Here is a 22,816-nt window from a genome sequence, read left to right on the forward strand (position 1 = left end):
CTCATTCAGAAGATGAACTAGTTGGTGTTACTTAGATGATTAACTACTTGGCATTAGGTAGAAGAGGGCTCTGCCAACTACAGTTCATGGACCAAATCCTGCCTGCTGTTTGTTTTTGTAAATAAAGTTTTATTGGAACACAGCCAGGTGCATTTGTTTACCTATTGTCTATGGCTGCTTTTGCACTACAGTAGCAAAGTTGAGTACTTATAAATGTAGAGCCTGCAAAGTCTAAAATATTTACTATCTGCCCTTTTGCAGGTAAATTTGAGGACTCTTGAGTTAGACAGCTAATTAGTTGGTGTTACCTAAATTTTGTGAATTGTGGCTAAATCTCTCATTTGTCTACACATTCAAATAAAATCATGTATCAAAGGTGATGTGTGTATAATAAGATGCTGGGAAGATGAGCAAAGCATGACTTCTTTTTTTTGTTGTTTGTTTGTTTTTAAGAGACGGGGTCTCGCTCTGTTGCAGTGTCGCCCAGGCTGGAGTGCAGTGGCACAACCTTGGCTCAGTGCAGCCTCCGCCTCTCGGGTTCAAGCGATTCTTCTGCCTCAGCTTCCCGAGTAGCTGGGACTACAGGCACCTGCCACCACACCTGGCTAATTTTTTTTGTATTTTAGCAGAGACAGGGTTTCACCGTGTTGCCCAGGCTGGTCTCGAACTCCTGAGCTCAGGCAATCTGCCCGCCTCTGCCTCCCAAAGTGCTGGGATCACAGGCGTGAGCCAGCGCGCCCAGCCCATGACTTCTCTTTATGGGAGAGAAAGGCCACCGAGATAGTAAGTGGACATCAGGACATGGATTCTATTAAATCTAACACCTTTATCTTTGCATTTCCATACATTTTGCTTATTTCAAAGTAGCTACAACTGCACAAAGAATGGGCTGTCCTCTCCTGCTACTTTATAAAAGCCAAGTTTTTGCTTCTAGCTGGTCGAAGGTCCTGTGGGAGCTCACGTTTTTCTCAATTACTGATGATCATTTGAGACATAATTTGGAGAAGGTTTCTATCAAATCCTAGCTGGACTGCAGTGAAATGTTTTCAAACTAGAGAAGCACCAAATAGGCCATGATAAAGAATAAATACCACCTACCCCAACCTGGCAAATGTGTGCTCACCCAAAAGTAGTGGAGCCTCAAGCTCAGGGAGATGTGACTGGAAAATCCACTGAATAAATGTCTATTTAAAAAAATCATAGCGTCTAGGGGATATACACTTCTAAGCCCATTCTTCAATGGAGAATTACTTATGCGCATAAGTAGTTTAAACAAAATTAGTGGAAAAACAGGGAGTTTAAGGGAGCAAGAGATCAGGTCTTCTGGGCTCACCACACATCAGGTGATTTAAGCTAAAAATGGCTTAAAATACCGCAATCACTTGAAACGCCTTACATAAACTGACCAGGAATCTGGGGCATTCGCGTTAGAGACAATTTTCTTCTCCTCAAGATAAGGGATGGGGAATTAGTCATAGGGTATTTCCAGATAATGTAGTTAACACCTCGTGTAATATTAGGTGGGCAGGGAGCTCTGCTCTCAGGACCAAAATTGCTCCTGCCAGCTCTAATAGGGAATGTGTGTATTTTTAAAGTCTGGGTAAGCACTGTGAGTCATTTCCACAATACGCCTCCCTTTGGCGTGAAATGGGGCAGAAAGTGCCCCAAACAGCTGTTATTTTCGCAGTGATTCATTCATTCATTCATTCATTCATTCATTCATTCATCCACCCATCCATTCATTCATTCACTCATCACATGGCAACTCATCACCCCTGTATACCAGACCCAGTGCCAAATACTGGGGAGATGTGTGTGAACAAAATCTCATTTTCAAGGAGCTTATTGCCTGCTGCACATTTTAGCCTCATCTCGTTAGTGCAAGAAATAATTTAACAACTGAAAAAGATGTGAGGTTGTACCTGGTAAGGTCTCTATTGGTCAAGGAAAGGTTTAGCATGGAGAGATTTCTCTTAAGGTGCCTAGGTATTCAGAAGCACCCCTAAAACTGATTTGTGTGGCCCTATGCTTACAAGTGGAGCCTTTCCCTCATTTTTGCTTTATTTCTTTTGCCTCTCACTTTTTATTTCCTTTGTGGAGTCCAGCCCCTTTGCTTATTCTCAGCACAAAAGAGGCAGTAGAGTGAGAAGAACGTGAACTTCAGAGCCCACCCATCCCGTTTCACATTTGAATCGCAACTCTGTCATTCACCAGCTGTGCATCCTTGGGAAAGTCACTTAGCCTCTCTGAGCTCTAATTTCCTCACAGGGCCGCAGGACTGAGGTTAAGGACCTGCTGTCACTGGTACAGTGGTTGAAGAAAAGGTGAATGAAGGAAGGGCCTCGTTTTACTCCTTGTCTCACATTCCTTTCTGCTACTTCTCTTTGGCTCACCAAAAGGAGACAGAAGTTTGTGTCCATGGCTGTGAACTGCCAAAGAGTTGCCAATTCTCTACGATCTTTGACCTCTGTGATCCCAGGGGCAAGGCCAGCACTTTCCATTCCATTAGACTTCATTCTCTTGTGGGTGCTTTCTGCTGGAATCTCCCAATACAGAACAGAAAGCACAGGTTATGGAATCAGATAGACCAAAGTTCATCTCCAAATTTGATTCCCTCTGCATACAAGTTGCTTACCCTTGGGGGCCCTGTAAAATGACCATAATAGTAAGCACCTCTGAGGCTCACTGGAAGAACTCTTTGTTGTCTGCACAGAAGATCTCAGCACTAAGCCTGGAACAGAGGAGACTTCAGTCGATGTAGGGCATCTCCCCAAACTGCTTTTATTCTTTATGCCTCACTGAAACTTGAATCAAAAAGCGGCTGGAGGAAAAAGAGCTTTGCCACCGGGCAGTACTGCTGGGTCTTGCGTCACAGAGATGCCTTCTGCTCCCTTCTTCAGGGAGACCTCAGAGTATGAAAGTGCTGCTTACCCAGCAGATGAGATTTAGTCCAGTCATCCATCTGCGTGGTCTCTGTGGATAAAGTAAGCGTTTCATTCAACTTTTAAAAATATTGCAAATTGACCCTCGCACATCTTTTCTTACTGCCGGTCACCTAGCCAGCAAAGACCCCAGGTGAGATCCCACTGGTTTGGAGGAAGGAGAGGAAAGTCCCCACTTGGGCAAAAACAATTTAGGATACCTGAAGATTGCAAAGCCCAGCTCCTCACAAAGGGGGTGGCAGCTGGGGAGAAGCTGAATCAGTAGACAGACAAGATTGTGGTTTAACGAGTTCAGGGACAAGAGAAGGCCCCAGTAACCTACAGAAGCAACTAGCTCCTTGCCTTCTGTACAACATGGCCTTTGGAGTCACAGGACGTGAGTTTGGATCCCAGCTCTGCCACTTAGTAATTGTGTAGATTTGCACATGTTGCTGGACCTCTCTTTGTCTCAGTTTTCTGTAAACTGGGGAAAATCTTAGTAAATCTAGCTAACGTGGTTGTTATGAAGATTCTGTGTGTGTGTGTCTGTGTGTGTGTATGTGTACAAAGAAAGTTTAGAGCAGCGTGTGGCACGTAATGCATATTATGTAAGTGTAGCTCCAATGTGAGTTGTTACTTGTAGAGAACAGCTATGTCAAAACCACACCAAAAACGATTTGGAAAGGAAATAATTTGACTGGTCATTTTGTTTATCCATCAACTGAGTTGGATTGATATATTTTTCCTTTGGCCTTCAAAGGAAATTTGAGCATTCATTCATTCATCCTTTTAGAGAAATATTCTCTAAGCACCTACCGTGCGCCAAGCTTTGGGTTGGATACCTGGAACCCCTCTCAGTGAGATCACAGTCTAACAGCACACACCCAACTATGAAATATAGATGGACTGTGAAGATGAAGAAAGGTTCTGGTTATGAACTCACAGAGGAAGTGACGGCTGAACTTTGTAAGGACACAAGTGGTTTAACAAGTTTCCTGGCCCATATGAGATCTCGGCTCCGACGTTACAGGCAGCAGTGTGGGGCCTCACCTTACCTTTTCCCACTTCCATCCTTCTCCACCCCCGTTCAGTTCCCAGGCTCCCCTTGTGTGAACTGGCTCATTTCTCACTGCCTTTCTGTTCTACAGCCCCCGCTCTGCTGAGTCAGGAGGTGCTACTTTCTCCATCTGCTTTCCATCGTCCAAAATTTTTGTTGATGTTTCTTGATCACTGAGTTAAATAATTTTTCCCCGTATTATACATTCAGTAGAGTTTCTGGAGAGAGTGCATACAAAAACGCCTAACTGAATCTACCACGTCTAAGCAGATGCTCCCAGAGTCTATGCTTTTTTCCCCCATGCCATACTCCCCAAACTAAAGGATGAGAAAGAACCATGCAGGCAGAATGAGATGAGTAGATGCTACTGCTAATGCTGTCAGTTCTACTACTACCGCCACTGCTGTCTTCTGCTGAGTATGGATTATATGCCTGTTCCATATGAGAACATTATGCATATGGTGTGATTTGGTCATTCCGGATGGCTAAAGTGTGAGCATACCCGTATCTCAGATTTACAGAGGAGAAAACAGAGGCTCAGACTGGTTATGTATATTTCTCTAAGTCCCCCAGCTATTGTTTGTTGTAGGTTGGGTACCCCAGGAAGTAGATTCTGCAACTGAGATTGGCATGTAGGAAGATTACTGGGGAGTGTTCTAGGATCCACACCTGTAGGGGAACGTAGCAAGCAGGATGGGGTGGAGGGAGGATTGAGCTGTGCTGTGGGAGATGCGAATGCTCCAGTCAATCCCAAGGAAACTCTGAAGCTGGATTATTCTTCAGAGATGCAAGGAGGTCAGGAAGTCATTGATGTGGGCTCCCTCCTGGAGTGCGTGTTGCTTTGGTAGGGAGCTCGCTTTGGCTGTGGGCAGTTCCTGAGGAGGGACTCATAGGACAGCCTAGCATCTGAGGAAATGAGTGCCTCCTGGCCCAGAATGGGGGATCTCAGCAGCACACTACAATATCCACTACAGTTTCTTGGGCTTGCTCTGAAGCCATGCCTCTCTAACTTCAGGGTATATTCATGTAAGTGAGGTGCAGGGATGGGGGAAAGGGAGAAGGTAAAGCTACAAAGGTAAGCCAGCTTGTCTAGACCGGGAGCTAGCTCCTTGTGAAGGAATGGCAATGATAATGGTTAAGTCAGATTCAAGAAGTGTGTTTTGGGGAAACACTCCAGGTAGTGGTACATAGAATCCTAGCACAAGATCAGTGACTGGGTGAGTTTGACATTGTAGATGCAAATGTGTGAGGAATTATAGTTGAAAGGGGAAAGAACATTTCAGTTTTTCATTTCCTGCGTCACTGTTTTTCTTATTTGGAGATGCTGTTCCTCTCAAGTGGGAAAAATTTGGTTATCTCAGGTGGTAAAGATGCCTTTGTTTAAAATATTCTTCTGTTAGTGGGGACAATAATACTACTAATTTCTAGTACTGACGCTTCTCATGCAATTTAATCAGTAGGAACCTGTTTGCATGTTCATTTGAGGAAGTACCAAAGCCAAAAGTAGCTTCGAGGTTTGGCACCTCTGATAAAGTTACAGAAGTGCAGTGTGAGCAAAAATCATCCTCTTCTCTGTTCTTCACCTGTTGGTGAACAGTGAGAGACCAAGGTGAGAGACTCGGAAATTACACATGTACATTGTATATTACATGTATACAACATACATTGTGTATTACACATATACAAATTACTTGTCATAACGTGCAGATTTCACAATGAGAGACCAAGTTGAAAAATGCTTAAAATTCACAAGTCTATATCATTCTGTCCTCCAGGTACCCCAAGCTGGTTTGGGTTTATACCAGTTTGAACCGAGGGACCTTCAGCTGAGGAACATGTGCTCTGTGTGCTGGAAGCTCCTGGAGGCCCCAGGGTTATCTCTGCTCACTTAGGTTTGTGATGTTGGGCAAAAGGAGAAAATGCTGAGTCTATTCGGACCCAACTTCCATTAATGCCTGAGAAATAATTTAAATCGCAAGATTTCCAATCCCATAAGCAGCCCTAGCCTCTCTTCTCCTGATACTCCACATACCCAGTCTCCATTCCTTCTTCCCCCACCCTCCAGTTCTCATCCTGTACACTACCTCCAGACCCCCAGGGATTCAGATCCTGTCTCCCCCAATGAGAGACTTTTTTTTTTAGGGGGAGCCAAATTATTTGTTACAACATGTAGATTTCACTTGTTGTAGAGATGTTCTATTTTCAAGGATACAGAGCTCAAAGGGAGCACAATTCCCTGGAGAGCTAGGGAAATAATGAAGTCTAAGGTCTGGCAGATCTGGATCTGAATCCTGGCAATGCATTTCGGGAGTTCGGTGTCACCCTGAGCATCTTTCAATTCCTTGAACTTCAGTCTCCTCATCTCTGAAATGGGGTTATTATCTACCTGCAGAGGTGCTGCAGTATTAACTGAGGCAACGTTGCAACGTTTCTAGAATGATATTTAGGGCTCATATTGACCCAGTAGGAAGTATAGTTACCTTGGGCCAGGGGAGCTACCTGAGTGGAGTCAACTTTTAGGTTATAGGGACCAAGTTGAAACATGCTTAAAATTCACAAGTCTGTACCATTCTGTCCTTCAGGTACCCTAAGCTGGTTTGGGTTTATACATTCCCACAGTGCCTACCACATCCCAATGGCTTTATGACCTTGAGGTCCTGATCTGTTTTATCATAGCTCTTGATCTTCCTCAAAAATTCTTACAGCTGTATTCCACAGGTCATCACCAAGGGACTGCTAGAACTGGATCATAGCAGCTTCCAAGAGCTGAGTGTGTACATTTCCTCCCAACTCTGCATTCAGTTTAAATTGCTTGTGGTGAGAGTATTCATACCATGGGAATTGGCAGACACTGTGAATCAAACCCACCCCCTGCACTGCCCCCCTCCAGTGAGCGAGTTCTTGAACACTTACTGGTACACCACTGTCACCAACCCTGCTTTTTGTAGACATGTCCTTTAAGCAAAGCAATTCATGGGAAAGTAAATTTAATTATCAGACCATTTCATTAGATTCCTCACTGCCACAAACAGGTGGTTGTGGTGATAATCTGGGCTTTTTTGATCGCTTTAGAAAGGCAGTTCTGTAATGACATGAAAAACATATTGCTTGGTAATTTATTTATTTGTTCCCAATGTTTGCTACGGATTGTGGTGAAAACACAAACACCCAGGACAAAGGGCAAGGTTCATCCCACCATGACGATGGGAGGCAGTTTCATCCCACCATGATGATGGGAAGTCCTTATATCAGGACTCCAGGGATCTTGTGTCCTGATATAAGGCTCTCACTTTCCAATCAGCAGGAAGTTATGCTTCCCAGCCTCTAGGAAAGCATAGGAGTTAAGGAGAACTGAAATCTGGGGCAGTTATAAATCTTCCCTTATGTGTACAACAGTTTAAATCAATTGGTCATCTACCAAAATCTGAGGAACAAGAGCAGCTTTAGAAAATGGGCTGGGCATGGTGGCTCATGCCTATAATCCCAGCACTTGGGGAGGCCAAGACAGGTGGATCACCTGAGGACAGGAGTTGGAGACCAGCCTGGCCAACATGGTGAAACCCCGTCTCTACTAAAAAAAAAAACAAAAACCACAAAAATTAGCTGGGCATGGTGGCATGTGCCTGCAATCCCAGCTACTCGGGAGGCTGAGGCAGGAGAATCGCTTGAACCTGGGAGGCGGAGGTTGATGTAAGCCGAGATTGCGCCACTGTACTCCAGCCTGAGTGAGAGACAGACTGTCTCAAAAAAAGAGAAAAGTAAAGAAAAGAAAAGAGTAAGATTAAAAACAAGTAAAGAAAATAAATCCTCCCGCTTTTTTTGCTCCTTCATGGGTATGGCTGCATCCTCTGCTCACTGGTTTGAGTTATTATTTTCCCATGGGCAATTAAAGCCCTGGCCTCCACTGCAGTTTTCACATCAAACCTAAGAGTCTCAGGTGCCCCTTGGTGGAGCAACCTAACTAGAGACATTAATCATACTACGGGATAATTGACAAATGCATTGTGAGTGTCTGATTTCTGTGGCTCAGGATGCTTAGTAGCAGTGGGGTCAAGGGCACAGATGACACAGGTCCAAATTTCCCCACCCCTACGTAGTAGCTGTGTGACCTGGGGCAGGTTGCTTAACTTTTCTGGACTTTTGATTCCACATTGGTTAGATGGAAATACCATATTATTATAAATATTGTAAATAGTACCCATCAAACACTTAATGTGAACCAGAAACCCTCATAAAATGTTTGCTAGTCTTTGTTGTTGAAAGGTCACTATGATGATGGCTCAAAATCCTGACCTGAAGGTGTGCTATGTTCCTGCTTCACTTGTGCTGTGGACATGTTCCTATTTATCATAGTGCAGTTGTTGAGACTGGGTGTCTAGAGCCATGTGATTTGGTTCAGCTCCTAACTCTGTCACTTGCTCTTTGACCTAGGCAGAAAACTTTGCCTCTTTGGGCTTCAGTCCCCGGTGTTTTTATTTTATTTTATTTTTCAAGATGGAGTCTCATTCTGTCACCCAAGCTGGAGTGCAGTGGTGCAATCTTGGCTCACTGCAACCTCTGCCTCCTGGCTTCAAGCCATCCTCCCGCCTCAGCCTCCCAAGTAAGTGGGACTACAGGTGTGCGCCACCACGCCTGGCTAATTTTTGTATTTTTAGTAGAGATGAGGTTTCACCATGTTGGCCAGGCTGGTCTCGAACTCCTGACCTCAAGTGATCCACCTGCCTTGGCCTCCCAAAGTGTTGAGATCACAGGTGTGAGCCATGGTGCCAGGCCTCTCCTGTCTTTAACTGGGGATAATGTGTGCAGAATTCCCCCTAAAGGATCTATCATGCGTAAGGTGGACCCTCACAGAAAGCGTCAAAGACACACGAATCTCTTAGCAGGAGGCCGCCAGGTGGCACAAAATCAAAACTGCATCATTGAGAATTATGTTATGAAGTCATTTACTGACTTGAGCCTCAGTTTTCCTATTAATACAATGAGACTGTAGTAACTTCATAGGGCTCTTGCAAGAGTTCAGCTAAAATTCTCCACCTTGCCACCTAGAACATGTCACAGAAGGTATCCTGGCCCCTGTATGGGATTCATACATGAAGAGGACTGCCTTGTAAAGTCATTTGATTAGGGATCCAGAGGGTGTACTGGTAGAGGACAGATTTTCAACCCCTTGACAGTTCGAAGGTCAGCTACACAACTGGCTTGTGTTCCTCGCTGACACCTCCCTGAGTAGCAATGTGCATTTGTGTGCCTTCCCTTTGCCAGGCATTTCTAAGAGGATGAATCCTAACAGGTATGGCAGCCAGAGGGCAGGGGCAGGGAGAAGAATAAGATGTTCCTTGGTGTACCCCATTGTCATGAGTTCATCATTTCTGTTAACTGTGGGGGCAGAGAGTTCCAATTGCAACTGGCTTGTTGTGAGACTGCCCCGGTGGTTGCTGCCAGATGATCCACAAATGCCAAGCTCCTCACCTGAGCCCTGCCAGCCTTCAGGACCTCCTTTGCACGAAGAGCAATTTGCAGAAGAGAACACTGCAGGGGAGGCACCATAGACCCCTTCTGGTCTGTACTGTTCAAAATCACATGACATCCGCCAGAGGCCTGGTGGGAAGCCAGGGTTTTAGGCACTAGAAATGGAGCTCAGAAAGGAGGAGAAAGGTCCCTGCTGGTCTGTGGAGAGGGCCTTGGCCACCAGAGGGATCAAATGGCCCAGGCAGGAAATAAGTATCCCGCTCTCAGATCTGAGGCCAGATTTTCAAGTGTATGCATGATTCTGGGGTGCTACAAAGGGTATAGAGTATGGAGTTAGAACATTACACGTCAACAAGAATATGGGTTTTGAACCCAGACCTCAGTTTGAATCTGAGTTCCAGCACTGCCCCGTTGCTTGGCCGTGAGTTACTTCACCTCCTTTAGCCTCTGTCTCCCCTCCACTACAATAACACCTGCCTGGTGGGGAGTGAGGATATTGTGCGAATCAGAAGTAATAACAGGTCGTTGGCACCTAAGAGACTCTCAGTAACCAGCAGTCATCACCACCGTCGTCGTCTTTTTTTTTGGCCATTACAGTTGGGATTAGACTAACCCTCCCTAAGCAGCTATTGAGCCTCACACTCCCTGGACAAAGACATGAAAAACTCTGGATGATTTGGAAGGGAGATCTAGAAATGGTGAAAGGACTGGCAAGTGCCTCTGTGCTGATATTGTACCTGGGCTCAGTGGTCTGGCTAAAGGAGAGGTGCTGGGGCCAGGTGACAGGCGAGTCTCTATACGGCAGGCCCAAAAAATGGAGGTGCAGGCTTCATCTATACTTTGATGTGTATGCTTCCTTCTTTAAACTTGTGATAATCAGAGTTATAGCTGCTTTAAACTTGTAAAAATCAGAGTTATAGCTGCTTTTGAACTAGTACTTGTTGTGTGCCCAGGAAATGGCCAAATGTTATCACTCATCCTTCCAAGAAACACATGAAGGTTATATTATTATGTCGACTTTCCAGATGAGGAGACTGAGGCTCAGTGGCTTGTCATAGGTGTCAAAGACAGGAGTCCAATGTAAGGACTTCTGGCTTCAGCACAGGGGATTTTCCTACCATCCCATATTGCCACCCCATCTGCAAAAATACCTGGATCTATCTTCCTCCTGCTGATTCTCAGCTCCCTCCAGGACTGAAGAGATGATATTGATTCTCACTTGATAGAGGTTAGAAAGGGCCTCTCCCTTCCCTAGCTGAATAGAGAGGGTTTCCTTTTTCTTTTCTTTTTTTTTTTTTTTTTTTAAATGGGAAACTTACAGGGAATAAGATCTGTTTCTTCATTTGCTTTGCAAGAGAGTTGGATTTGTACACGATGCCTGAGCTGGCTCGGTTTTCTAAAGACCTAACTTTGCAGCATTCTTCAAGGGCTCCAGAGAGTCCCTTGTGCCATCAAATTAAGTTTGGAAACTTCAATAAAAAAGTCCCGAAGGAAACTGTCAATTAATGCATTTACACTGAAGCATCATATTTGGGAAAAACATCTTCAAACGCAAACGCTGTTTTCCAACCATTAAAAAGTTTATGCGCTGCTTGGTTTCCATGGATACCTGAGGTAATAGCCTCCTTCCTCTCATTGAAGAGTGAATGTTGCTCAGTTACTTTTTTCCTGTTTTTTTTCACTTTTGTCTTCCTGACTTTTTTCTTCCATCCCTATTTATGAAAACAAAAAGATAACTAAATTGAAACCTGACAATGTAATTTGTCAGAGGAAGGCAGCCTGTTTTATAAGCTCAGGTGATTTCATTTTTGTTCACCTGTTTATTTCATGACACTTGCAGGAAAAAGAAGAATTTTCATTTGATCAAATCATTTCCATGATCCATCAAACACACAAGTTAAAAAGGGAAATGCTCTCAGTCTTTAATAACAGTCTTAATCGTGTGTAGAGCAGAGATTGACAAACTATGGCCTGCCGGCTAAATCTGGCCCAGTGCCTTTTTTTTTATAAATAAAGTTTTATTGGAATACAGACACGTTCATTTGGGTAGACGTTGTCGATGGCCGCTTTCACAACAATAGCAGAGTTGAGTGATCGTGCCAGACATTATATGGGCCACAGAGCCTAAATTACTTAATCTCTGGCCCTTTGCAGAAGTAGTTTACTGACCTATTATATACAGGAAAGAATGAGGGCTTGGGTGGCACTTAGTAGTGTTGTCACTTTTGTCATTGGCCTTGACCTGACTCAGTCTCCGTATTGTTGAGATGGGAATGACGGGACCCTCAGTAGTGTTTTGGGATATAAGGCACACGGTAAAGGAACAACAAATAGGAATTACATTCCGTCGAGATTCTTTTGCTAGAAAGATCCAAAGAAACCTACCTTGTGATTCTAGATGTTTTTTAGGAAACCCAAAGAAAGTATGAAAAAGCCCAAGCCAAGTCCTTCCACTGTTGTTCCCGGGCCTGTGTGTGCTGTGTGTCTTTCCTGGGAGAAGGTCAGAGCTGGAGTGGGGCACTCGATTCCGGCAAGAGAAGGCAAACAAAAGAAGCCACAACAGTCTAGGAAGAAATCTTTAATTTCTATTCAGCTTTAAAGAGTTTGAGAGAGTTTTTTCCCCTCTGTTAACAAACGAGTTCAAGTACATGCCTTCATATTATAAAAGTACCTGAAATTGCCTAGAATAGCAGCATGCATAGCTTGTTAGTATTTACATATATTTACATAGGGAAACAAGAGAAAGATCTACAGTTATTTACAGTCTACATAGGGGAAGAGAAAGGCAGCCTAATTGTATTTCCTAAAATACAGTAGATGAGTAGTCAGCACATGCATATTTAGATAATATTTGCATGATAGAATGCAAACTTTAAAAAAGACATACCTTTGTAACTTTCTATGCTAAGGTGTTGCATAATCAAGGTTAATTTTTGTTTGTTTCTAGTCTATTGGCATCAAGTGCTTTAAAATGCTCACTAACACCGAGGCAGAATTATTTACCCGGGCAATTAAAGCAACAGCACACACGATCATTTCCTACTAACTAGCAACACGCTGCTGGTGAATGAAATATCTATTGTTTCTCATTACCCATCGACCACTGTGAAGAGATCTCTCTGTGTAAAGGCAGTGCCTAAGCTATCACCATTAATTATGGAAGTAATATAAATGAGACACTCTCCACAGTATGTTCTAAATGAAATATTAACAAGGCCAGCGTCTTGGAACCTGAGAAATGGTCTGTTCCAGTGAGCTCTGTATGGAAATCCACACACCTAACTCAGACATGCCCGATTTGAAATAGCGGGGCTGGACATTGGGGGCCTACCTGTGAGATCTGAATTATTGCAAAGTACATCCTCTTAATTTGTTTCTGGAAGGCAGAGTTAAGAGTTAATTCCTTCCCATGATGTGGCCCCAGCGGAGACCTTGTGTTTTTTTTTTTTTTTTTCTTCAGTGCTTTTTCAGGACTATGTTATAGAATACTTATGGGGCATACGTGTAAATGAACTGTCAACCTTAAAATCTAAACAAACAGCTTGTTTGTGGTTCGTCCTGAAATCCTCCCTGCTCACAAAACAGCCAGCTACTTGGTTTTCTAAAAGACGTAATTTTGCAGGCAGACTTCGTAGAGCCATTCTGTGCAGAAGAAGGGAAGGGAGAAGCTGTTTGTTTTACCTGTAGTATGAAGATATTCTTTGCGCTGTTAGAACTGAGCTCATTAATTCTGCCTGGCAATAATTTCAAAGGTTTATTTTGGTGTAGATGGCGAATACAGATGCATACATTTATACGCAGTACACGAGCTAGCTATAACCATAACAGAGGTTAAAGAAGTAGAGTAAAAATGTAAAATGTTTCAAATAAACACACACTAAATATCTTCTTTTATATCTTATAAACACCCAGCAGTCCTTTAGCACGGGCATCAAGGTGGCCCAGTTGGAAAATTTCAGTGACATGCCATCAGATTTGTTCCATGTAGAAGGACGACACTATCAGTTAGATGCTTATTTTGTTGGCAAATTTCTATGGCACTTCTGCTTGGCTATTTCAAACCAACCATGGAAGAATAGATACCCCAATGCGATGTTTCATCCCTATTCATAAAGAAACTGTACTTTGAGCAATGTAGGTATCCCAGGCAGCATCAGAGGGAATGCCCAGGGAATTCTTCCATGGATATAAGACATCATCAACAATACCTTCTCTTAGTTCTAATGAGACAGCCTCTCAGGTCCGGTCAGTTCTAGAACGCTTTGGGCAGGCACAAATGGAAGATGGAACAAGTGTGCATGTAATGACCCACATGGATTGCCTTGAAGCCGTTTCTTTTTCCTTCCCTCGTTAGGAGTACCCTCACCCTAACCCCAGCAAAGCATGTCTAGGGTCTCACAATAATAGCAGGTCTCAGAAAGATAAAATAATTCTGAATGTTACAACTCGTCCCATTTAAGGCTAGACATAAATCTATCACAGATCCTTTGGAACATCGATGGCAAGAATTCTGGAACACGAAGGAGGTATGAAAAGGGCTTCACTCGTTTCATGGAAAAGCTCAGAACAGTTTGTCGACTTGGAAACACAGGCCCTGAGAGCGTACCAAGGTCACCCTGCCCTTCAATCCTGCTGATAGCCCAAGTTAACATCCTCCCATGCCTTGGCCTTCCCAGAACAAACATGGCTTTGGACGCCTTTGGGTGGTTGGGACTGGCTGCCTATTTTTCTCTAAAACTTAAGTTTTAGGAAAGAATTCTTTCCAGCTTTCCATCCTGAACCTGCTGGTCTCCAGGCTCGTTCCTGCAAATATTTCACAGAGGAGTAAGAGCCACATTCTTGCTGGCTTTCCAATTCATTCTCCTCTCTTCGAGTCCACCTCTTAAAACTTCTTAGTGCTCTTGCAAGAAACTCATGTCTTTTGTCAGGGAGAATGGCATGGCCTTTGTATGACACTTCCTTCTAGCCAGACTCGGATTTGGGGGCATCATATTTGGGATGGCTGCACCGTAAACAGGAAAGGCCACAGGACAGCTCACAGGTTCTCTCTGAACAGAAGCCTGTGAGCACGTGCCTGTCATTTAAAAGCTGCATGGCACTCTTCCCCCTGCATGCGTTTCTCTCAAGGTGTCCCTTGTAATTTGTGGTTGTGGTCTGTGCTTGAACCTGTTGCATTTATGGTGATGGACTGGCACTTTACTCTCTCTGAGCCACGGCCATCAAGCCCCTGTCATAGACACTGTCCCTAGTGTCACCTGGGGAATGACACTCTTCACCTGTCATGGGAGAGGCAACTGAAAAGGAGCCTGAGGTTTTTCTACCTTTGTGAACCTGTTGCTAGCAAAGAAATATTTTTCCTTGTGGCAAAAGATCAACATCTAAACACATTGTCCACGTCTAATTTGTTAGGGAGGGCATGTTCTCTTCTGGAGGGCTAAGAGTTGGCATGGGATCTAAATGGATTCTCCAGAACACTTTCTCACACTTCTAAAGCCTGAAAACAAATATTTGCTTTCCTGATCATCTTCATTGTTTCTTTTTGGGAAATTGAGTGCATTCCTCTTCTATAATAAAGGTTAAGAATAGCCTGTGAGTTAGCAAAACTCCCAAAGGTTTATGAAGAAAGTTACATTTCAATACCTACAGGAAGTATTTGCATGTGTCTAAGGCTGGATTGTTGAAGGCCTTTGTGGGAGTCAGTTGTCAGGAATTTGTAGGAATGACTGTGTTAGGAATCATTGGAGGAGAGGGAGTCAGAGGGATGGATCAGTATTTTCTCTGCAAACCTGATGAAACACTCCAGAGCCCGCACCTACATGCGTGGGAACTGATAAGATGGGGGTTGTGTCCACTTCACTTGTATGGGATGTCGGTGCTTTGAAAAAATTCTATCATCAAAGAGTAGGTTTCTTAGTTCTGCAAATCTGGCACCTGGAGATGGCATTTTGAATCGGACGACCTTTTTAGTAAGGGTCACTTGCTGTTGGATCATCGAAGGGGGTGCTGAGTCTTCATTTTTGTTCATCCAAATGGATATCATTTCAATTTAGCTCCATGAGTAAATCAATGGAAAAAAAAATCTCCTTTTAACATTTCTCGGGTGAACACACGACAGCCCCCACATTTCATTTTAGGCCATGTTAGGGCATCACCTCATGGCCAGACATGGCCTGGCTGAGAAGGCGGCAGAGCAGGCAGAGAGGCATAGGAAGCCGGAGCCCCGTGGAAGACATAGATGAGGAAATGGGCCACGTGCAAATATTTGTGTCACATATTTGGGGAGCAGGTTTCATGTACCAACGGACACGGAGTCTGAAGTCACTCACTCTACGTAATTATCTGTATGGCTTTGGACGAGTTGCTTTTGATCTCTGATATCAGGTAGGCTTCTCTCTAAATAAATGGAAATACTAACTGTCCCTGGCTCATAGAGCTCTGTGAGGGTTAGGCAACAATGCTTACAAAGCTCTCCATGCAGAGCCTGGCAAATCGTAACCTCTCAATAAATGCTAGTCATTGATGTCACTTGAATAGTACTCGTTGGCTACAACTCACTGAAAAAGCCGGGCAGTTTGCAGGGCTGAGGACTTTGGAGTAGACATCTCTGTTCTCGTCTGCTGCTTCCCATCATTTTGGTGGAAGTTGGTGTGTTCGTTGGTTAGCACTTATTCCAAATTGAATTGTATAATTTCATTATAGAAGTATCACGGTGGAAGAAGAGGGTGACTTACTGGTGTGGTCACCTAGCCAGGGAGGCCTATGAGCCTCATTCCTGTATAGGCTGCATTACTTTATGAACAAATGCAATTTGTGGCAAATGTGTCCCCTAAAAGATTGCTCTTGGATAGTGAGTAGGGAACAAGTGGCCTTTTGGAGCAGTTTGCTTTCATTTGTGTTTCCAATGAGAGATTGAAGCTGTAATTGTTTGTGAGGAATGGCTGTATCCCAAGCACCGAGGTATCTGGAGATGACCTCTGCACTGTTCTGGGAGAGTGGTTATAGCCTCTCCTGGGGGAGTGTTACTGGGAGACAGGGAAAGACAGGGCGTGTAGACGGCCATCTATTCCACCTGTGACATGAGGGCTCACCCCCTCATCTCCACCGCAGCAGCTCTCTGATAAATGTAGCTCTCTGATAAATGATTCTGTTCCTAGTGGTGTATTCACAGAGTCAATGGATAAGGTGGCTGGCTTTGCATTTGAGAAGTATTTGCTTTGTCCAACAGACACCAGATGAGTAACAATGGAAGTAGGCAGGGTTTGAAGAGGTATGTGTCTTTCCTTTTAGCCAAACCTGCTCACTTCAGATCACCACTTTGTCCTGGGACGTTAGTCATGGGAACACTGCCGTCTTCAAAAGGGCTGTTCTCCTTCCCTGCTCTTGGTGTTCCAAGCCTAATCTAACTTCCAGGGTTCATTCCTTTCATAACTCTACTTTTTGCATAAGTGGATTAATTCAGCATTTGCTGTGCAATGTCCCTGTAAGAAAGCAATCTTAGAACATCTACTCTCTCACAATCATTGAATATATAGATATGCCATGATATTGTGTCTATTTTTTATATATCTCATAGTTAAGTCTACTTTAAGACAGGAATCTCCTCTTTCTTTTAAATGAGCATGCATTTTAAAATAGAAAAACCTGAAAGCAAAACACGGTGTAACATGTGTCCCTGTGAGTATTATATTAGAGTACTAACCAATGCATTACAAATATCAATATGTGGGTGCTTTTTTTTTCTTTACCATATATTGTTTATCAGAAACCTCTGTACCCTTTCCTTTAAAGGAGTCAATATGCATTTGTATTCTGTGCTGACAACTATAAATTGATGGCTAGCAGTTATCAAATGAATGTTGATGAAAAGCAGCTACTTAACATTTTCATCCCAACACCGAGTTTTGGAAGGATGGATAATTTAGATCTGAGGGCCTCAACTATAAATAAACAGCAACTGCTTTCTAAATCCCACCTTTCTGTAGTTGAAGATTGTGCTGCAAATCTGACAGATGATTTTTGAAAGAGAATGATGAATCCTTATTACCAAGATACTCTTAATCCCAAACAAGAGTCCTGGGTAATTTTACATATACTCTCAAGATTGATTGCACAGTTCTCCTCTGGCAGCTCACAAATGTTTGACTAGATCGGAAATGGCATTCGGGCATGATTAAAAAGATTCTTCTGGGCTTCCCAGAAATTCTCAGTCCTGTGTCGTCAACAACCTAACTCATTGCCATTGCTGCGGGATAGACACCTCCCCCGTTTCCCATGATTAGCAACCATATACAACCTACAGGCTTCTGATAAATGATTGATTCTCAAAAAAAAAAAATCGTTTAGGGGAACCCATAGCTCCAGCCAGTGTTTGTATGTCAAGGTATTATTATTTATCACAATGGATCAGTAAGCATTGATGACAACTGGCAAGGTATTGCTTCAGATATTTTATAACGGAGTTGTTAACATTATTTCCTTTAGATGGCTCTTTCATCTTTTCTGCATTATGAACTGATGCCCCAAAAGGTGGTATGAATGAAAGTCATCTGATGGTGATTAAAGTGCTCTTTAAATTTTTTTTTTAATCAGTTTAAGAATGCTTTCTCTTTTATTGGCAGTACCTGCTTGTTTACTATTGAGATTTCACTAATGTGCCTCAGTCTTATTCTGATGATATGTAGGCCGAAAAGCTGGTGAGCCAAAAATGAGAACCTGTTACTAAACTGTCATCACATCTGATCATATTAAGATGTCACTCAGAGGTTGCCATTGGTACGGCTGAAAATTCTCCAAGAGACCAAAGGTGTGGTGTGTATGGGACCAACAAGATATTGTTACTGCTTAATTGTCCAGCAAGGGAGGAAAGTAGAGTGAGTACCCATGAGCACCAAGCATGAATCTGAGAAGGAGAATTTGCCAAAGGTGGACGATTGATTTTTGGAGTAGAGAAGGTCGTCTTTGCTTTCGGGTGCCCCTCCTGTGTACTGTGTTCTACAAAGCCAGAGCCACTTGTGATGGAATTTAGATGGTAAATCACCCCAAGCCTAGTGGCAAAGGAATCAAAGCCATCTCCTGATAAAAAGTTAGGCTTTTCAAAAAGGTATGGCTCTCAGCATTGTAGCCAAATGTAGGTTGGCATGAAATGAAGCCAGTTGTAATTGCCTTTAGATTCCGTGGAAGGAAAAGGTAGGTCCCCAGCTCCTGCAACAATGGCATTCTGAATCAATGGGACTGCAGAATTTCTTAGCAAAAATACCATTCCAGTAATGCAAGAGTGCAACGTGGTATCATTACAGTAGGTCATAGTGGCAAAATATTTTATCAGGTTAGGAAGAATTCTGCTTTTTGCTTTCCCAAACGGACTGCTTTGGTCTTTCCTCACGCTTGGCAGAACAGTGAAAGGCCAGTCTGTCATGACGTTTGAATGCTGAATAGTATAACCATTGTGGCATAGAGGGCGGGAGGCTGGACTTGAAATGGGTGAGCTGGATTCTCCCACCACTCGGGAGTTAATGGCAAGTCACTTGGCCACTCTGGTCGTTTTGGCAGCTGCAAGGTAAAATGAAAATATATGACAGATATCTGGAAGTTGATACAAAACACCATCTCCACCAGAACTCTAAGATTCCAGGCCAAAATAATACTTGGCTTGAGTTAGCTGGATGAGCATCTCAATTCTCCAATTTGTCTTTAGAGGCACTTCTGCTTCCCTTTTCCCCACATGGGATGCAGAAGAGCCAGATAAACCCCTTGAAGTTGTTTAGATAAATGTGCCAGGTGCTAAGCTCAGGGTTATTAGGAATAATAATTCAGTGAAAGGAAATTTGGATGACATGAACTCATTTCCATTAGACTTGAGCCACACAAATCAATGGGAAAAGAAACAGCTGAATCCAGGATAATATCTGGCTATTTGGAGTGGGCATGATAATGGAGGGAGATTGGGGAGGTAACAAACCAGCTACTATTAAGTTCAAGTCATGTCAGTTATTCAAATTCAGGACCAGTGGAACTTGTCCAGTATCATCAAGCAGCCAGTTATTATCAAAACCCAAGTCTTTGTCTCACTCACGGTCCACACCCCGCCCAGAGTCGTATCACTTGACTGCATTTGACCATTCAGTTTTCAGACCAACTCCATTGTTACTAGATATCCTGACACTGAAGAAGCTAAAACCAAACAACAATGACAACAACAAACCCAAGTCTGCCTTATGGCAGATTCTTCACGTCGTAACACCTTCCTTGGGACCCTATTTCTCAGTATGGACCTGACTCTCCCAGGGATCCTAGAATGCAAGCATAGTGATTGCAAACCAGACCATTTGAGGGAAACTCCTCCAGTAAGCACCCTGCATGGTCACAATGTAAACCCTGCAGGGGCAGAAAAATGATAAGCTTTGGGTCGGGTCGGAAAGCCATTTCCCCCACAATCAAAGTTCCTTAGTGTTTTCCTTGTGGGGGCGAGCTTATCTTCAGTTACCTTTTCCGGTCCTCTCTTGCAACCCCTCTCCCTCTCATCAGCTGAAAATTAGTGGATGCAGCTAGGGCTCTGAAACACATAAATAATCATAAGATGCCAGATAAACTGTATTGGTTTTAAATTAGAGACGTGCCGACCATGTCTCCCTCTGAACAGCAGCCTATTATTTTTAATTATGGCTTGCAAAGCAAAGTGATTTCTTGCCCTCTTTATAGCATCCCTGACAGTATTCTGTCAGTTTGGATGATATGATGCCTCATCACTGCACACGTCCCTAGCCACAGCCGCAACTGTTACTCAAAAGGTGAATGAAAGTGATCAGCTGCACTCTTTGCAACTTACATTTTGAAGTGGGCTGGGAGGAAATGTACCCCCTTACCTGTGGTCCCATTGTAAATCTGGGTCAAATATGACATTTAGAAAAAGGTTTTCATGGGATCTGGATGAATTAATGTGTTATGTGTTTGTGCTAAGTATGAATGTATGGTGAGGAGTGTGTGTGTGTGTGTGTGTGTGCATTAAATGTTTTAACACAACATTGCCAACCCTTCCCCTAGCAGCACCGTGGGCAAAGCATAAAGGGATGATCTGGCAGCAGCCCCACTTGGGTTTTCTACCTGATGGACCACAATTAAGAGTGGTTGGTTTGTCAGACAGAAGGTTCTACAAACGATTTGGTATCGAATTACATTATACATGGAGAAGTTGAGGGGTTGGATGAATTTGTTCTTGCACGTTCAGAAGGATACCATCTTTTTCTCTGTGTGGAAGAGGCGCCTGCCACGACGTATTGATATGTGTATTTATTTTCCAAGCCTGTCCCTGTATGAGGTGTCAAAAGTTACACCAGCTTTACAAGCGGAGTTTATGAACTCGTTTTTCCAGGATAGTCACATTATACTTTTTACAGTCATGTGCTTTCAGCCCAGTACCCTTTGCTATGCCAAGATCCAGCTGAAACTGAACCAGGTGGGGGAGGCCTGCTAATGCCCAGGCAGTCGAAATGACGCCATCTCATCACTCCTTTTCTTAAAATTTTTTTTTGTCTTTCTTCTTGGATTTCCAGCAACAGGGAGCTGCCACCACCGTGTACTGTGCTGCTGTCCCAGAACTGGAGGGTCTGGGAGGGATGTACTTCAACAACTGCTGCCGCTGCATGCCCTCACCAGAAGCTCAGAGCGAAGAGACGGCCCGGACCCTGTGGGCGCTCAGCGAGAGGCTGATCCAAGAACGGCTTGGCAGCCAGTCCGGCTAAGTGGAGCTCAGAGCGGATGGGCACACACACCCGCCCTGTGTGTGTCCCCTCACGCAAGTGCCAGGGCTGGGCCCCTTCCAAATGTCCCTCCAACACAGATCCGCAAGAGTAAAGGAAATAAGAGCAGTCACAACAGAGTGAAAAATCTTAAGTACCAATGGGAAGCAGGGAATTCCTGGGGTAAAGTATCACTTTTCTGGGGCTGGGCTAGGCATAGGTCTCTTTGCTTTCTGGTGGTGGCCTGTTTGAAAGTAAAAACCTGCTTGGTGTGTAGGTTCCGTATCTCCCTGGAGAAGCACCAGCAATTCTCTTTCTTTTACTGTTATAGAATAGCCTGAGGTCCCCTCGTCCCATCCAGCTACCACCACGGCCACCACTGCAGCCGGGGGCTGGCCTTCTCCTACTTAGGGAAGAAAAAGCAAGTGTTCACTGCTCCTTGCTGCATTGATCCAGGAGATAATTGTTTCATTCATCCTGACCAAGACTGAGCCAGCTTAGCAACTGCTGGGGAGACAAATCTCAGAACCTTGTCCCAGCCAGTGAGGATGACAGTGACACCCAGAGGGAGTAGAATACGCAGAACTACCAGGTGGCAAAGTACTTGTCATAGACTCCTTTGCTAATGCTATGCAAAAAATTCTTTAGAGATTATAACAAATTTTTCAAATCATTCCTTAGATACCTTGAAAGGCAGGAAGGGAAGCGTATATACTTAAGAATACACAGGATATTTTGGGGGGCAGAGAATAAAACGTTAGTTAATCCCTTTGTCTGTCAATCACAGTCTCAGTTCTCTTGCTTTCACATTGTACTTAAACCTCCTGCTGTGCCTCGCATCCTATGCTTAATAAAAGAACATGCTTGAATATCATCACCTGAAGTTTGTATTGTTTCTTTAAATGTTTGTTTCAGTTTGTTTTTGTTTTTCATTTTTTAGAAAAGAAATCTAGAGGAAAAATAAAGCGCTTCTAATAAAGCGCTTCTCGTAGATGCCAGGAAAACACGATTCTTGTTTCTTCTCTGAGTGAGTTTGTGTTTTGTTTTTGTGCTTTGTGGCTGTCCGTGGGCCAAGTTGTCTCACGCGATTAGCATGCCAGCATATTTTCTGTTAAAGAAAGAAAAAAGAAAAATGACTATTGTTTCATTTCACCTTAAGATGTTTTGTTATTACTTACTTACAGTGAGTTATTTTAGTCCTCAATGGTCTGCTCCCCTGCAATTAGCAAGTACTTAGTGATTAGCGGGTATCTCTATGTTTGAGAATGGGAGCTGTGCAGAAGCTCTTATCTGCGCATCCCATCTCATGGACACCATGATTTCCAGCCCGTTCCAGCAAGCACATGAGAAAGTCCACTCTGGCAAGACGGAGAAAATGCTTCTGCTGAAATACCAGGAAGGTGTGGAGGCTGGGTGTCATTGTTCCCCCTCCTGATCATGGCAGCTTCAGGCCAGACAATGTCTTGAACTTCTGTGCCTCTGCATCTGTGGTGCAGAGCAGTCGAACAAACAAACACCATTGCCCTCCAGTGGCCCATAGCCTTGCCACATCCTCCCATCTGGCTATAGTCTTCCTTACGTAATCCTTATTATCACAGGACCTTTGAAACTATGAATCAGATAATGTCACTTTT

At 43.7% G+C, this 22,816-nt stretch overlaps 2 protein-coding genes across 7 annotated transcripts in view; one reads left to right on the forward strand and one right to left on the reverse strand.

Moving 5' to 3' along the window:
• The window catches only part of WWOX (WW domain containing oxidoreductase), a 1,113,014-nt gene extending 1,090,958 nt beyond the window's left edge, over nucleotides 1-22,056 (forward strand). For both annotated transcript variants that reach the window (NM_016373.4, NM_001291997.2), the window contains one exon: nucleotides 20,997-22,056. In NM_016373.4, the coding sequence (NP_057457.1) occupies nucleotides 20,997-21,185 (189 nt within the window). In that variant the 3' untranslated portion in view covers nucleotides 21,186-22,056. The remainder of the gene's footprint in view (nucleotides 1-20,996) is intronic.
• Nucleotides 12,011-22,816, reverse strand: part of MAF (MAF bZIP transcription factor) — a 398,116-nt gene continuing 387,310 nt past the window's right edge. Inside the window, exons 3-4 of one of the 5 annotated variants that reach the window (XR_002957804.2) lie at nucleotides 20,620-22,290; nucleotides 12,011-18,996 (exon numbers count right to left, since the gene is read on the reverse strand). The gene's annotated coding sequence lies outside the window, so the exon portion shown is untranslated. Of the gene's footprint in view, nucleotides 22,291-22,816 lie in introns of all 5 variants that reach the window. The other 4 variants (XR_001751902.3, XR_002957803.2, XR_002957802.2 and 1 more) reach the window with 4 other exon arrangements.

Source organism: Homo sapiens, chromosome 16 (genome assembly GCF_000001405.40).
Source record: "Homo sapiens chromosome 16, GRCh38.p14 Primary Assembly".
In the NCBI taxonomy this organism is placed as follows: domain Eukaryota; kingdom Metazoa; phylum Chordata; class Mammalia; order Primates; family Hominidae; genus Homo; species Homo sapiens.